This window comes from Homo sapiens, chromosome 10, assembly GCF_000001405.40.
Source record: "Homo sapiens chromosome 10, GRCh38.p14 Primary Assembly".
NCBI classification, from domain to species: domain Eukaryota; kingdom Metazoa; phylum Chordata; class Mammalia; order Primates; family Hominidae; genus Homo; species Homo sapiens.
This window is the reverse complement of record NC_000010.11, coordinates 87415216-87433620: the sequence shown is the minus strand read 5'-3', so window position 1 is coordinate 87433620 and position 18405 is coordinate 87415216. Positions and strand designations below refer to the sequence as shown.

At 35.7% G+C, this 18405-nt stretch overlaps 1 long non-coding RNA gene across 1 annotated transcript in view, besides 1 other annotated feature; it reads right to left on the bottom strand.

Moving 5' to 3' along the window:
• Positions 1–3497, bottom strand: part of LOC112268063 (uncharacterized) — a 62306-nt gene extending 58809 nt beyond the window's left edge. Inside the window, exon 1 of the long non-coding RNA XR_002957092.2 lies at positions 2504–3497. This is a non-coding gene — a long non-coding RNA (uncharacterized LOC112268063). The remainder of the gene's footprint in view (positions 1–2503) is intronic.
• Positions 16483–16683: a silencer, noted in NCBI's record as "peak1047 fragment used in MPRA reporter construct". NCBI's record gives its function as "represses an SCP1 promoter by STARR-seq MPRAs in K562 erythroleukemia cells {active_cell/tissue: K562}" and the evidence as "EXISTENCE:reporter gene assay evidence [ECO:0000049][PMID:32103011]".

Here is an 18405-nt window from a genome sequence, read left to right as displayed (position 1 = left end):
AAAATTAGCTAGGCGTGGTGGTGGGTGCCTATAGTTGCAGCTACTCAGGAGGCTGAGGCAGGAGAATGGCATGAACCCAGGAGGAGGAAGGAGCTTGCAGTGAGCCGAGATGGCGCCACTGCACTCCAGCCTGGGCGACAGAGTGAGACACTGTCTCAAAAAAAAAAAAAAAGAAAAAAAAAGAAAACAGGTACATGATGTAGACTCTACATTTTAATGTAATGTTTCATTAATTGTAATGAAACATTACAATGTTTCAACATCCTTGAAATTTAAATAAGGGAAGCTTTGGGTTTCCATAAAGAGAACACTTATACTTAAACACAAGAAGGCTGAGACAAAGGTTAAAAAATGGTAAAGCTGTAAAGGGCTGTTAAAAGCATAATGCTGTATTTTTCATCCCCCAAATCTTAAAATGTAAAAAAATGGCTTTAGCTTTTGACTCCAAAGCTGGAGATTAATTTTTTAATTTTTAATTTTTGTGGGTACATAGTAGATGTATATATTTATGGGGTACATGTAATATTTTGATACAGGCATGTAATGCATAATAATCTCATCAGGGTAAAAGGGGTATCCATCACCTCAAGCATTTATTTGTTGTGTTACAAACAACCCAAGTATACTCTTTTAATTATTTAAAAATGTACAATAAAATTATTTTTGACTATAGTCACTCTGTTGTGCTAGCAAATACTATATCTTATTCATCCTTTCTAACTATTGTTTGTACTCATCAACCACACCCACGTACCCCCGACTCTTCTCCTACTCTTCCTAGCCTCTGGTAACCATCCTTCTAACTCTCTATCTCTATGAGTTCAATTGTTTTAATTTTTAGCTCCCACAGATAAGTGAGAACATGCGACGTTTGTCTTTCTGTGTCTGGTTTAGTTCACTTAACATAATGATCTCCAGTTCCATCCATGTTGTTGCAAATGATAGGATCTCATTCTTTTTTATGGCTGAATAGTACTCCACTGTGTATTTACAACCTTTCCTTTGTCCATTTATCTGTTGATGGACACTTAGGTTGCTTCCAAATCTTGGCTATTGTGAATAGTGCTGCAATAAACATGGGCGTGCAAAACTGGAGAATTTTGAAGTAATACATTTACTCCTACAGAGATCCTGAATAATCATAGTTCTTGATTACACCCACCTCCTCTTCATTATTTTAAGTATTTTTGTTAATTACTAAGTTGATCCTTCTAGTAAAAAGGCTGCCACAACTTCGTTTCCTTTGGAGGACTGAGACCTTCCCACCTTAGCAAGAGCTTTCCATGTTGAGGTTTGCAGTGAGAGTCACATTACCCAGAGAACTGAGGGGACTGCAGTTATGCCCTTGCAGATACGGGAACACGAGGGCTGAATTAATGAGCCAGAGCCTTAGACAATACTGCCAAAAAGTCCCAAGTTCCCCCGAGCAAATACCCAGGAAGGATTTGTCTGGATATCACCTTCACCTCCTACTTAGAACAGGGTTGCCCTGAAAGTCCCTCCACCCATCGCAGGAGAAGACCTTGGAGAGTGGCTAGCAGAATTCAGGCAAATTCTTTGTTTCTGCATTCTATTTGAGCAGCCTGGCCACAGGCCAAGGAAAACTCTCTTGGAGAATAGACATTACCTGTGGAGAATGATTTGAGAAACTCTGATCCAGGAATATCCAACACTACAGTGGCCTCCTGGGGTCCCTACTAACCGGTCCCCTATTAATCTCCCTGCCCTGATTTCCTACCATCCTCTCCCTCACTCACTCTGCTCCAGCCACTCTGGCCTTCCTCAAAAACAGACAGACTTCTACCTTGAGGCTTTTACATTTGCCTAGAACACTCTCTAGCTTGCTCGTTTACCTGCGTCATGTCTTGGCTTTCATGCCACTGTTTGAACAAGGCCCACCCTTATTAACCCCAATCAATATTGCAAACTTCCCCTTCACCACTCACCCTCACCACCCTCATTATTCAGCTCTTTTTTAAAAAAGGTACCTATTATGTTCTAATACATATCACTGGGGTATGTTTTATATTTATTGTATATTGTCTATCTCCTCCCACTAGAACACAGCTCCACAAAGGGTGAAATGTTTGCCTGTTTCTTGGTTGACTGCTGTTACCCCTGGGCCTGCATCAGCACCTGGCGTATAGTAGACTCTCAAGAACAGCTGTCGATTAAATGACTGAATATAGCACATCTGGGAAAACAAAGGCTTGATTTGGTCCCTGTTTTCAACACTAGCTCTCCCTCCCCCAGGACTGGTCCTCTCCTAGCACTGCCAGCCTCTGCCAGTCCTTAGTGGGACATGACCTGCCCTTGCCCACACACCTACTCGATCCTCACTCAGTAGTCAGCATCCATATCCCACTGTGACTGACCCAGGCACACAGTGCCAGCAGCTCGTCCAAACTGGAAACTCTTCAAGTCTCAAAGTCTTTTATCAGTCTATTACTTGTCCCTGCATTCTCTCTTCTGTCCCCCTCACTGTAGACCTTCAGACACTCACCAATTTCCTGTTCCCTCTCTCAGTCCCTGGGAAGACTGGCAGTGGGGTAGGACGCCAATCTCCCCAGCTGCTCTTCCAGGCTCCCCTGCCAGAGGAGGCCTTTGGTCTGTGATTTTTCTGCCAATTATTAGAAAGAAATAGGCCTGGGATAATAAAAACAACCAAGGAGGAATTTAAAAGGTTATGAAATCTTTTAAAATTCTGTTTTCTCAATTGTATTTTCTCATTTGTACTTCTCGGCTCTTTTTTGAGACGTTTACATAGAATCATCATCTTTCCTTATATACTCCCTTTTGGAGGAAAAAGTATTTTCAGAGTTTCTCAATTATGTCAAATAACAGAAAACATTTATTGAACAATTACTATGTGCTCAGCACCATAATGCATTTCTATGAAAATGAGCTCATTTAATCCTCACAACCTCTCGGTGAAGTGGATGCTGTCAATCTTCCCATTTCATGGAGGAAAACTGAGGCCCAGAGAAGTTATATGACTCCCGAGTTTACACAGCTACCTAGTGGAGGACTCTAAGTTACAACTTATCTAATTTGAGAGTTCAAATTTTCAACTGCTATAAAATATCTCTGATACATGAGAGAAGCTGGAAAGTGAGATCATAACCACCAGAAAAATACTACTTGTTAGTGCCTCAGAAGAACTACCACTGGTGTGAGTAGAATTACAACACTGGCAACCCAAAAGAGATACGCATGTCATGTTGTCTGATTTTGGAGACATTCTTAATTTTCAGTGGCAGGTGCCATACATTTATTCATTGAGCAAATGTTTTACTGAGTACCTTTAATGTGACAAAAAGCCTGGCCACTGCAGAAGCAGGTGAGCAAAAGCAAACACAGCCCTTGCATTCATACAACATATATTTCTTCTTGAAATCAAGTTCCTGGCACTAGGTATCAATAGACTTGAAAATATGTATAACCAGCTAGGTGCAGTGGCTCACGCTTGTAATCCCAGCACTTTGGGAGGCCAAGGCAGGCAGCTCTCTTGAGGTCAGGAGTTTGAGAGACCAGCCTGGCCAACATGGTGAAACTGTGTCTCTACTAAAAATACAAAAATTAGCCAGGCGAGGTGGCGTGTGTGTGTAATTCCAGTTACTTGGGAGGCTGAAACATGAGAATTGCTTGAACCAGAAAGGCAGAGGTTCACAGCAGAAAATAGTTCAGAATATGTTTGAATATAAGAGAATATTGTTAAATATCAGTTTTGAAACTTTATTTGGAAAATATTAAAGTATACTGAATAGTTCAATACTTCATAACAGAAAATTTCTCTAGAAGAAAAATATAGACAGAAAGCAGCCAAAAACTAGTATTTGAACCTTTTGAAGTATCATTACAACTAATGTTCTGTGTACTATTTTGGTTTTGGAAATGCTGGGCCTAAGAAGAATCAGAGGAGAAACATATGAGGCTTTTTACTTTTTTTTTTTTTTTTTTTTTTTTGAGATGGAGTCTCACTCTGTCGCCCAGGCTGGAGTACAGTGGCGCGATCTCGGCTCACTGCAAGCTCTGCCTCACGGGTTCACGCCATTCTCCTGCCTCAGCCTCCAGAGTAGCTGGGACTACAGGCGCCTGCCACCATGCCCGGCTAATTTTTTTTTTGTATTTTTAGTAGAGACCGGGTTTCACCATGTTAGCCAGGATGGTCTCGATCTCCTGACCTCGCGATCCGCCCTTCTCAGCCTCCCAAAGTGCTGGGATCACAGGCATCAGCCACTGAGCCCGGCCACCTTTTTACTTTTAAGTCAGGTGAGAAAAAAGTCTGCCTTTTACTTTGTCATGGGTCCCAAAGAGGACGAGAATTGAAAAAAAAAAAAAAAAAAAGGGAGACCTGATCATCAGAGCATATACAGTGTTGTGAAGGCAGATGTAGTAAAATATATTATCTAAAAAAGGACTGAAGAAACTGAAATGCAACCTGCTAATGAAGATAGGTATGGAAAAAAGATATGAAATAAGTGCTTTTGGAAAAGAAGATCACAATAAAAGGATTTCTGTGAAAAGACTAAAAACACAAAGTCAAATAAAATACATCACAGAATGTAAATAATAGACACCAGCTGCATGGGTTTTAAGACTTTGTTGAAGGAAAAATATAAAACTATAATTAAGAATGAGATTCTAGAAAAGTAAGAAACACACAGACATTCAGCAATATCTAATGGTTTAATTTCACAGAAAAAAATTAGGCATTTATTAGAAAGTGTATTTATAAGGAAACCATAGAATGAGAGGAATCCTTGACCCTCCTCAACTTTAACAATTATGATACATCAAATTCACTTTTGACGGCAGAAGTGATGATATATTTTTTTAAAGTAACCTAGCCTAAAGTACGTCCTTAACCACTATCATTTAGACAATTTTTTACAAGCCCTTGCGTTGTGTACAGTAGCAAGCTCATAAGTGGAAACTTATTGGGCATTTAGAAGCAAACTGGTGATATGGAATTTTGTTCTCTTTTTTTCTGTTTTTATTCTAAACAAAATTTTACTTCTACCTCCTACTAAGGAAGATCTCCTTATATTCATTTCCTATATGGTTTGGTATATGAATAAAGGGTGATAACAAATATAAACTAAAAGATGGGTAAATTTTTACATACACTTTCGTAGCATTTATAGAGTAAGAAAAATAAAGGAAAGCAAGAAAACTACAAACAAAACAACTGAGAAGTGAAAAGTCAAGGGCTTTTACTCAGAGGAGCAGAATGCTGGGGTGAGAATCCTCATGACATATGAAAAGAAGGAACCCAGGACACACAGTAGACAATTGGCAATTGAGAAAAGGAGAAACATCTCCATGGAAACAGTACAGAATGATTCTTTCCTTGACCTTACGAGAAAGAAATCTGCCATAATTTTGTCAGATTAAGTAAGGATTTCTGTGGCCATATAAAAATGTGTAATGCAATATAAGAAAGTACTTTCCTCACATGTAGTTAAAGATGGATGATTGTTCTGATAAAAAATATGCTTACAGCTAAACTTGCTGCCAGAATTTAGGAAAATAAATGCCAGGCACTAGACTAAACCAAGGTGCTCATGCCATCACTGGCAAATAGTAAGCTCACAGTCATCTCAAATAACTGCCAGATTAATAGATGTTTCAGGAAAAAATAGATAAGTAAATTAGAGAAATGGATAAATGTGTAAAGCTTCTGTGCTAGTTTATGAGTGTTTTAGCTTAGAGAGAGTTAGGTCAGGTCAGTCTGTCAGGTACTTCTCACAGTTGAAACTGCATAAAATTAAAATACTCAGATTTCAGATTTCAGAAAAAAATGTGTACAGTGAGATGCGATGTACAGAATAAAATCCTTCCATTTGAAGGAATATATAATGGGAATACCTAGAAAATGGTCTGGAAAGAATGTTAATAAATTGATGCTACTCTTTTATTTGACTACTCCAGGTCAGGGAGCATGGATCATCTGTGAGCATGTCTACAAGGAGGACAAAGTGGGTAGTACTATGGGGTCTCTTGCATGTACCATGCACACTGTAGTCTATGTGAATGCTGCTCCCCGGAATCATGTAGTGTACAATCTTCCCTTTGGCAATGGGATGGGTAATGGTTATGATGTGAAGCAAACTTTTTCTTTATACCCTATACATTTTTTTTGTTTTTGCAGCAAGATTTTTTTCAGATACCAATTTTATAATGAGTGAGAATGATAATGAGGGACAGAACTACCAGGTAAATATTCCCCCACATCTTGTTGTTGTATTACATAGACATCCTGAATTAGTTTTAAAAAGAATGATGATTTTTTTTTCTTCTCACAATGCTATTATTTTAAGGAGGAAGGCATGTGAAGACTTTGTATATAGAGTCAATAAGAAGATTTTAAACACGTGCATATAAACTTGGCCGACAAGAGGCACTTGGATCTAGAGAGACTGGCAGCATATAGCAGAACTTTAGCATAGCCTAGAGCTCTGTTACAGAAATTATGAGCTGGAAGAAGAGACAATGGTGAGCTGATGGAAGTCAGAGCAGCCAGGTTAATTAATTAGGACTCTCAATAAACACTAGAACAAAAATAAAGACAGTAATCCGCTAGAACAAAATGGAAACCAAGGAGTCACTACCCACCCATAGACCCAATAACAATAGATGACAATTTTTGATAAGAAAATTAGAAGCAGGAGAGAAATTAGCATTTTATGAAAGAGCTTGTAGTCAGTTGGACAGATGGATGTTTAATTCTTGAATCCTCTATTTACACATGCTAGTGTATCTTCCTCTCTGGATCTGTTTCCATATAAGGGATATAATAATTATTATTTCATACAGACATTTTGTTGTGTTGTTGATACATTTGTGTGAGGTACACGAATAATGTATCTAAGTGCCTTGTACAATTCCTGGCACATAGATGTTCATTAAATGATGGGTCTCTACCAACATCTAATATGAAAAAATATTTCCATTTCCCAGGGGCTTCAGAAGATGAGTATGAACTCATCTTAGAGTTGAAGAATGTATCAGACAGGAACAGGTCAGAAAAAGATCCCAATCTATGTATGTCATGTATTTGGGGACTCAGAAGGAGACTTATCTCATGATTAGATGGTGTGCATGGGCAAAGAAAGGAAAAAAAATGCTGCTATTTTCATAAAGGCTGAAAATGCAATAATTATGGGAAAGTTGCTAACAATGATTTTAGATGCTTGTCAAACCTAAACAGGAGGTCACCAGAAAAATGCTCTAAATCTCTTCACTGTGACATCCACATCTTACACTCATGCCCTTATTTAGCATAATTTCACCTGGAGCTCTATTGTCCTGAGATCCTAGAAAATGTAGTGTCTAGGTTTCTCCTTTGTAATTTAAACAATACTTCAGAAGTTAGAAGACATGAGTGGATAACAGGAAACCTGTTACAGGATACAACTTGATTAATTTAGATATAATAGATAATGGTGCTTCCTAACCACAGTTAGGATAATAAATAATACATGTTCCAGTTAAATAATAAATGTTGTAGTCTTTATTACTTGAGTTTCTTACAAGACATTTAAAGTTCATGAAGACAGATAGTAGATCTGTGTATTTTAATCATTTTTTAAGCGTCCAGAACTTCAGTTAATCAAATCAATAAATATTTTTTTTCTTAAAATGAAACAATCTGCACATATACAACTCCACTCTGAAGAAAGGCAATTATTTTCATAATTATAGGAATTTCTGCAAAATTATGTAAATAATTGCCTTTCTTGAGAGTGGAATTGTATATGTGCAGATTGTTTCATTAAAAAATATGTATTTATTATAATTTAAAAAGGCTTTATATATATATAAAGCCTTTAAGGCCTTTTGTTTTTTTAAAAAAAGAAGACTATCCCTCCAAAAGTGGCACGTAGTTCTACCTGTTGTATAATCAACACTCTACTAATTTATGGATTTAATCCACGGTTTATCCCCAAGATTTCCGAGATCCCAAGTCCAATATAGTCAAGGCTCAAGATCAAAGTACTTACACTTTACCCTCACTACACCCCTTGCCTTTTATGCGCCACCAAATACCACCTCCCAGAAGTTGCTGTAAAAAGAATAATTTACCTACCTACATGACCATTAGGATTCTGCCTTGAAGCAGACATGCAGGAAAATATAATATTCCATCCCATGGCAACTTTTCTTTACTTGTTTTGTTGTAATATTTTTGTGTACCCTAAGAAATAGTCATTTTAATAGATTTTCAATTATAGACTAATATTTATCAGGGATTCATTATAAAATATGCTATTAATTCCCTTGATGGTGGGAGCAGATAGAGAGGAATATATGGTTCCATCTCTTGAACCTCCTCTGTGCTCTCTCATCTCAAGTTTATTTCATCAGTCAATTAATCTGCTTCTGTTACTGTGTCTCTAGGTCCCCCTGCCTTTCCCTGTCTCTCAAGCACTGTGGTTTATTATTCCTTATCACTCTAATAATAAATGCCAGAAGCTATGTTTCCTTACTAAGACATATCCTGGGAAGTCAATAAATACACGTTAAGAAGACAAGATTTCTCAACTTTGTTAAGATACAGATTTCTATCATTAACAATTCTGATTTAGCAAACATTTATTCACCCCAAATCTTTCTAACTTAGTTTATCTCACTGAATTCTGCGACCACAATTTGGTGTGTGGATAACTTATTGAACTTGCAACAGGTGGTGAATCATTAATGGCAATGTCAAGGCTTAAATCTTGCTCCACTGGTTCACCCATGGCTGCTCTCACATACCAAGCTAGAGTTCAATTAGAAAGTTGGAGATCAGTAACTCCAGAACACTGGCCAGAGGGTCAGAAGAGCTGACTCGTGGACATTCTCATTTCAGGTAAAGGATTCATTGGGTTTAATAGTAGTTCTTATGTCATTCTTTTCTAAAAATTAGCAGTACCAGTAGTCTCATGATTTAGGTAAATTTGCTGTTGATTGGGGTAGAATAGTAGAAGTATATTAATAAAAATGCCTTTTAAAAATTACAAAGTATTCTTTGCACTGCTGAAGAGATTCATGAATGAGAAATTTTGAATTACTACACATTAATATTTTTTCTAGCTCTCATACCTGTTTGAGTCTCAGAAAGGACAGAAGTGAACAGAGATGAGAATGCAACCCTCTCTTAGCAAATGATCAGGCGATTGTATATTGTTCAATGATTAATTGATATTTTAAAATGTTTCCAGGAAGACTAAAACACTTTTTGAGAATTATGTTCTTAATTTTATACTCACAGCTACTAAAGCAAGAGGGCTTCTTAGTAACAAATTATTTTTACAGTAATCAAAGAAAGGTTAAAATAAGAGAGTAAGATACCTAAGGCCACATGGAGAGTAAATATCATAGCTGGAAATTTGGCAATGGTTTTGTGATTCTCATCATTTTCTATTTTGTTTTATTTTGTCTTGTAATACAGACTTCTCTGAATTATTTTATTTCTGACAGAGAGTAATATTAGACTAGGCCTTTATTTTTACAAAGCGTATGATTTGTATTGTTTAATAAATAGGTAGATAAATAAGTATGGACCAAAATAATGAGCAGTTATCATAAATGTTTACATATATAGAAAATTGTTTTTTAATGGATAACCTATATAAAATAATTTTTTAATAAACATGTATGGTTCAAGAAGGGCATTTTAAATTAAATGTTCAATGCCATTTTAAGAATTTGATTCTCTAAAGAATATCCACAAAATTTGATACCACATTAAAAAAAAGAAGCCAAATAAATATATCTAGAATCCTCTAGAATTTATTTATTGATGAAATCATAAGGAAAAGAATTTTCATATGTAATTTATTAAATGATAAGTGACTTGTCATTTCATTTACTTGGGAAATAGCATAATAAAGTTTTTAGGAGGTTTTCCTCTAGCTGGTAATTTTTGACAATTAAAAAACTTGACCCAGTTTTGAAAAATATTTGAAAATATTTGACCCTGCCCAAAAGCCACCTGCAAATAGCTTATTTGCATGAACATTAAACACAAGGGCTTTCATGTACCTTTTACTTATTACTGGGATAACAAACCTCCATTCATTAAGCACAGCATCGTTTTTGTTGTGAATGAAAAATCAGCCAATTTCTGCCACATCTGGCTGCTAATCTATAGGTTTTGAATAAACAGTAGACAGTCAATTGCCGGCATCCATTCTCTTAAACCACATGAAGTTTTTTTTTTCTCCCCAGTCAAAATGCCATTTAATACAATTTCATTTCATTTTTCAGAACAACCAAGGCTTTAAAAATAGATCAGGTTTTATGGTGCAGGGTGCAAAGCATGTATTAGATAATCTAAGGATAAATCTGTTCATATACTAAGTCTCTCAGTGTCCGATTGCCGATAAAAGTTCAAATAGTCACTGCAGACAGGATAATTTCACTGTATCAAAAACTGGCATTTGCATTGAAAAGTCATTTCTACTCATTTTTGAGAAACCAGTAGCACAGTTATTAATTTTATAAAAAACCTAGACTCAATCTCAGTGAAGATCTTAATGGGTTTTTTGCTGGGCAAAAAGATGAGGGCAGTTTAACTGCGATAGCTACAAAACATGGCATATAAACATTTATTTAATTGAAAAATAACAGCTACAGCATCCATAAAATTCAAAGCCCAGCATTAGCATTTTTTCCCACTGGTTCTAAATGAACCCCATCCTCCTTACTTTAAACCTTCAGAACAGTTGCCTATAGATAGAGTTATTAGTCAGACATTTGGGAATATCTAAACTACAGAGGAATGCTGAGGAATTGTAGCTACACATGATGATTGCAATTTCAAGGAAAGGGAATTTATGCTGAAATATTTGAATAACTTCCCCTCTTAGTTTTTACTATGTCAAAAAAATTCATATAAATGTATCCCTTTACACAATTGGTCTACTGAAATTTTTGGTGAAACTAAAACACAGTATTGCCTTTTTACTGTAAAAGAGAAAAAATTAAATAGATTTATGTACAGAGACACCTATTACAAAAAATATTTTTAAATGACCCTACACTGTATTTTCATAAAAGACTTAATTTGTCATTTCCTTAGAAATGAGAGGTTAGGGGCCAGGCTCGGTGGCTCATGCCTGTAATCCCAGCACTTTGGGAGGCTGAGGCGGGTGGAGTTCGAGACTAGCCTGACCAACATGGAGAAACCCCGTCTCTACTAAAAATACAAAATTAGCTGGACGTGGTGGCACATACCCGTAATCCCAGCTACTCGGGAGGCTGAGGCAGGAGAATCACTTGAACCCGGGAGGCAGAGGTTGTGATGAGCCGAGATCATGCCATTGCACTCCAGCCTAGGCAACAAGAGTGCAACTCCGTCTCAAAAAAAAAAGAAAAAAGAAAAGAAAAGAAAAGAAAGGATAAGTCTGAAGAAATAAGGAGAAATAAGATAACTTGCTTGAGAAAGAAACATACACACACAAACTTGATAGCTATGGAGTATACTAGATAATCCATAATACGAACACTCAGGTTTGAGGAGATTCTATATAGCAGAAAAGGCCTATCTTCACAAAACTGCTAATTTGATAGAAAGTCTAACCTTATCTTTATATGGTTATTAATGTTAAAGCATGGAACTTTTAAAAGACCTTTTATTTTGTCAAACATTTACTTAAGCAAAGCACACTGCGCAGTGCCTGGCACTTTAAAATACTCAACAAATATTGCTTTTATTGTTCTTTTTTTTTTATACTCATGGGAAAACTGCTATTTTAAATAATCCGTAATTGTTTACTATGTATTTGCAAGTTAAAGTATCTAAATGTAGATAGATTTTGATAATTGAAGATAAAATAATAGCCCTAAAACAGGAAAAGTGAATGTAAAGTTGATCTCTTCCAGGGCTAGAGAGGTATGATATAAGACAGTAGGGGCTGCGTAAAAGTGGAGACTGTGTATTCAACATAAAGATATTCAAATTCACTTTGAAAAAATAATCGAATTTTCAGGTAGCCGGACTTGAGTTGAGACAAGCAGTGGATCTGAAAGGCCATGAGAGACGTGTGGAAATGTTATAGTGTAAAACAGGGGTCCCAACCCCCGGGCCACAAACTGGTACTGGGCCTGTTAGGAACTGGGCCACACAGCAGAATGGGAGAGGTGGATGAGTGAGCATTACTCCTGAGCTCTGCCTCCTATCAGATCATTGGCAGCATTTGATTCTCACAGAAGCACCAGCTCTACTGTGAACTGCGCATGCAAGTGATCTAGTTTGATCCTTATGAGAATCTAGTGCTTGATGATCTGAGTAGTGGAACAGTTTTATCCCGAAACCTTCCCCCCAACCCTGTCCATGGAAATATTGTCTTCCACGAAACGAATCCCTGGTACCAAAGAGGTTGGGGACCACTGGTGTAAACAAAATTAAGGCAGTATTAAATACGAAGATGTCTTAGATGTTATTTTCTTGCAAGAGACAGAATCTTATTTAAATTTCCTTAGTAAAACAGAGGTTTAACTAAAAGGATACAAGAATATCTTGGGCTCAGAGTAAATAAGGAATCATTAGATAGCTGTTTGTTTTATATCTAGTTCCAAGTCTGCATGGTTTCTAGTTCCCATTCATCTGTTTATCATCCTCTCCAATACAGATTAATTTGGAAGGCTGTTAGTATTTGTTCCCTTTAACTTAAGTTTATCCATGGCTTTGGACTGCTGCAACAATTCTGGCCCAATGCTATTAGACTTCTCAGTTGAAATGCCTATAATTAACATACTAAAATACCTCATTTTCTAAATCAAAATTTTGAGAAAAAGCCTCATGTATTAAATGCTTCTCCTTGAGTTACGCATCCATTCCTATTTTTCTGAACTGTAACCAGAAAGAACGTTCATGGGGCACAAATAGGATTGGGTTTAAACTCTCTGCTTTATCACAATGCCAGACTGATATTTAGAGCCTCTACATGTGGAAAAGCTTATGACACTCCTTCATTGTACAGTTCAAAACAAAATTACTTTGCATCTGTAAAAAAAATACATACTGAATCTAAACAGGCAATTCTAGTTTACAAAGTTCTGGATAAGACCATTGTCTTAGTCCGTTTTCTGTTGCTTATAGCAGTATACCTAAAACTGAGTAATTTACAAAGAACTGAATTTATTTTCTACAGCCAAGGAGGCTTGGAAATCCAAGGTCGATGGGGCATATCTTTTGAGAGCCTTCTTGCTTGTGGGGACTCTCAGAAGAGTCCCAAGGTAGCACAGGGTATCATATGGCAAGAGGGCTGAGTATGCCAACATGCTAGCTCAGGTCTATCTTCCCCTTCTTATAAATCCAACGGTTTCCCTCCCAAGATAACCTATTAATCCACTGACTTATCAATGAATTAATCCACTCATGAGGGAAGAACTTTCATGATCCAATCCCCTCTTTAAAAAGCTCATTCTCTATATTGTCATATTTTGGATTAAGTTTCAACATGAGTTTTGGAGGGAACATTCAAACCATAGCAACCATGAAAGCTGAACCTTTCCAATTCTGTGCATGGATGTTTATATCTGGTATCCTAATTGCTGAAGCACAGTTTCAATCTGCCTGTTGGAAAAGTCCATTTGCAACCCAGCACAAGTCGATCACTTGCTCGAGCTAAATCTCATTTTGTCTCTCAAACGTTTTTCCCAAATTCATGTCATCCCTCTGCTAACAAAGAGAACAAAGGTTTGTAGATGTTTCCTCTCCCAAAGATAGGGTGAATAACTGCTTTAGGCAGAGAAGATCAAAGTATGACCTTATTGAGCACTTTTATTGGCTTCAGACTAGGGTTTCAACAAGTTCAGACTCCTGTGGCTGCCTCACCATGTCTAAAGAAATTATGAATGATCCATCTCCTTAGTGTGATTCCCCACCCACCCACTCCAATCCAACCCTTCTCTCTGCCTCTTTTCAAAATATTTCTCTAAGACTTTTCTTAGACCAATATGACTTCCCTCTCACCTAACACCCTTTCTTTAGCAAGTTATATTTATGTCAGATTCTTAATCCATTCAAAGGGAATGATGGTAAAGAATAAAAGAATAATAGTAAGTATTAAACTGTGCCATCTTGCCCTTCTCTCTCCCTGAGAATTTTTGCTAATTTAGTAACCAGGGGAAATGATTGCAATATCTCCTAGTGATCTGGTGGCAGGGGGAGCATCTGGTTTGGGTGAGTCAATCCCTGACTTTGTAATATGACCTGGTGAATAACTCAATATCAATAAATTTCAACCTGCTGCAGGTTGCTGAAGTTTTATAGAAACTTAGAAGAGCTATAAGCCACCATAAATTTGAGAAGCAACCTTAGGCTCAAAGAAAAAACTGGCTGTTATCTAGCTGTGAAACAAAACACATAATACTTATATAGTGAAATAGGACTTCAAAAGAGAACTTAGGCAAATGAGATTTATGTTCAACATTTTTGTGGTTAATTATTCCATGTTGCTGCTTAATAAATTTTCTAATTTTTAAGAAATACAATTCAAAAATGAAAGTTTTGATTATATTATAGGGTATTAGCACATGTTCAGAATTTTCAGAATTGGAGTTCTCTGCTGCCCTAACTGACAATGACAAAATCAAGGGTAGAAACTTAAGCTTATGCTTATTTCATAATGCTGGTCAAATTCAATTAAAATTAGTAATGTAATCTTTGAGTGGTTACTTTATATTTGTGTTCTCAAGCAGGGACAATTTTACTTTTCAGGGGATAGTTGTCAATGTCTAGAAGCCTTTTTGATAGTTGTCAAAACTTGGAGAGGAGGAGGTACGCTACTGGCCAGAGACACTGCTAAGCATCCTATAGCCCCCTCTGCATTAAATAATTGTCTGACCCAAAATGTCATAGTGCCAATGTTGAGAAGCTGTGCTCTACATTCTTCTTATTCCTTTATTAAATCATTATTATGTGTGAAGTGACTGTTACATAACTAGTAGTAAACAATATTTTATTGACCACTTATCACGTGCCATGCTCTATTCTAAGAACTACATACATTCATTCTATTTATCCTCACTATACTACAAAATAGGGTAGGCTATAATTCCATTTTACAGATGAGGAAATTGAAGCACAGAAGAGGTAACATCCACAATCACGTAGCCTGCAGAAGATAGATCTGGATTTATAGTCAGGTAATTTGGTTTTAGAAGCCCATCCACTGTGGTAAAGGAAATCAAGTGCTGCTTATTATTTCCCTTGACTTTCTCCTATGCTCTTGCAACTCTAAGAAAAGGACCTTGGCAAATCTCAATCTACAGAATAATTCATAATTCTGGGAGCTCCACAGAAAATAAAAGTTATTTATTTATTTATTTATTTATTTATAGCTGTTGCAGTGTTCTGCCACAGGTATAGTCAACTTTGTCTGCAAAGTTAAAATTTTTAAAATGAAAGAATTAACAATTCCTCCCCTAATTATATATATATATATATAAATAAATGTAGGCCTTAACATTAACACAAATCATTGAAGTTTCATGGGTCAAAAATTTAGGCAGATATGTAGTTTGTAGGCATCTTATACTAATTAGTTAACATACTACTTCTTTTATTTTTATTATAATATAAACTATATTCATTTTATAATATACATAAATAAAAATCAAATGCTAAATATAATAAAGTTTATTTTATATAGTCCAGCTCGCTAATGTACATTAATGCTTCAATGATAATATTAAACTTTCTTTTATTTTATTACATTTAGATGCAAACTCCAGCCAGGGTTCACATATTGATTTCATGTTCTAGTAAAAACTACAAATAAAAAACTACAAAGTCAGAGATTATTTCTTAATATATTGCATATACTTTCATCCAATGTAAGTCATTTCATGACACGTTTAGCTTTTTTTGTCATAGTGGTCTCATGTTTTAATGGAAAATAGTAGGCAACAATTTTGTTTTGTTTTAGATGTGATATTGAAGTTTAAAACTTCACTAATAATTGCTGCAAATATAACACAACAAGAGAAAGCACTATAATCTATTGAGGCAAAACATAATATTAAGTAACTGAAAATGGCAGAAAACTATAGGGTATGATAACAATGCAACATGAAAAGCAAAGAGCTTTATTTGTGGTATTCCAGGTTGAGGGAGAGATTCAAATGCCTATTAATTCCTATCTCTACCAATGATCACATTTATATGTTTCTGTACTGGCATGTTCCCTGAAGTCTACTCGTGCCCCATTAGTGGTAAAAGAATTAAATATTTAAAAATATTTATGCATATTATATTTATTAGAAAAAAATACTGACTTCCATTTATGTTGAGAATGTCAGCAAATCCAATCAACTTTTCTCAGTATTTCCTTTTTTCTTTATTTGTTGCTATAACCAGAGTCCAAGCCAACATCATTTCTTGCTTATAAATGTGCAATTATTTCCTACTATCTCCCTTTGCTTTCATTTCTGCTACTTTATTTCTATTCTCCCCAGAGTAATCAAAGGGATCTCTTAAGAACTTGTCAAATCATGTCACTCCTCTCCTTAAAACAACTCATGCCGCGCATTCATTTAGACCACACCCAAACACCCTAGTGTGACCTGCCCCATGAATCATATTCAGACCTCATCATTTATATCTGTACTCCCAATTCACTTTTCTTGAGTGAAATAATCTTTTTTGTTGTTGTTCCTCAATCATCGTGAGCTCCTTCTTGCCTAAGGACATTTATACTAGCTCTTTCTTTTTCTGGAAACATCTTTTTCCCAAATATTGTGGCTAATTCTGCTGGAGGTTTCAGCTTAAATGACATCTCCTTGGCATTTCTCATGAAGTAAAATACAAGCTCCACAAGACAAGGCTGCAGGGGAAGTTAGGAAGGAACTACTTTTTTGGTTTTGCATTCTTTGAAATAAAGCAATATGGGCAACATATTAACAAAATAAAATATAAAAGGAATACCATACGTCTTCATTTTACATTTTTTCCTACAATTATTTTCTATATACCTACCATCTGTCATTTTCTATCTATTTGCTAAAAATTTCTCAGCATTTCCATGTGAGCAACATGCATATTAACTGGGTTGAATCCTCTGTGTCAGATTCTATTTTATAATCCAGAGTGTTTCACTTGCACCTTTTACTTCCTTAAAGTCCTAAGATAAACAGTTGCAAAGAGTCAGACTCTTTGAAGCTCTAAACATACTTCTGCTCTCTCCGTCCTAATAGCCAAAGGAGGGCTTTTCTGCATTTTCTCTATTCAAGTTCCTTTTGCTTTTCCTAAGCTTTGTAGTAAAAATCTGCACTCATGTTCTGCCATCTGCTTTTAATATATTTTTAATTCGCCCACCAATTGCCATTTTACTGATTATCCCCAGAAGGATAAAGCCATTTTTAGTAAAATTCTGCTTAAAGGGGAATTGATAGTTGTGGAGAAATAACTGCACATTGTTGAAGAGTACTTATTAGAACACAGTTCCATTGTATTTGAGGAGAGAAATGCATTACTGACTGGAATGTCTTGAGTCAAGAATTTAGCAAGTTTTTGGAAAAGACTTTCATAAGGTGGAACAGGAATCCACATTAAGTTCTTGAACACATAAGATTGAGTTGAGCAAATCAATCAGAGTTTGACAAAGTAAAGCAATGAATCTAGTTAAGGTAATGAAATAAATTAATCCCACTTGCCTCATATAAGGGTTTGAAAGCAGAAATAAATGCAAATAAAGGAATTAGAGGTAGAGTTACACGTAGAATTGCTGGCTCTATAATGGAGGAAAGTCAAGAAGAATTTGAGATAAATTTATTTGTTGGACAAAATACTACTTACAAAAGAGTTGGAGCTGGATTTGAGTTGTTAATATATAGGTATGAATGTGTGTGTGTATATGTATGTATATATGTATATGTATATGTGGATTCTAGAGGTCTAGAACTGAAATTGTTTGGACAAAGGATATAGATTTTTACCAAGTGTTTATTTAATTGCATTCTAACAAAATAATATTCTTATAAGTGTATGAGAAAGCCCTTCTCCCCTATATTTGCTTGGAAGATTACCAATTGTATTGACCTTTCCTAATTTAATAGATAACATAACTACTATAATAAAATTTTTATTGATGTACTTACAGATTAAACAGTTTTCATATTTTTTATGTTTTTGTAAATTGTCTCTCATAGCTATTGCCATTCCTCACCTTTTTAAATGTTTATTAATTTGTAAAAATTCTCTTAAGGACATCAACCCTTGAAGTAAATGTTGCAAATATTTCCCAATGCATATTATTGTCTTTTAGCTTTGTTTATAATGAATTTTTACATTTTTAACTATAAGACTCACAAATATTTGTTGCATCAAACTTATTTATGATTTCCACGTTGGTCATTTTTCAATAGGCCTTCTCACCCCCAAATTATTATTATTTTAATAATGGTCTT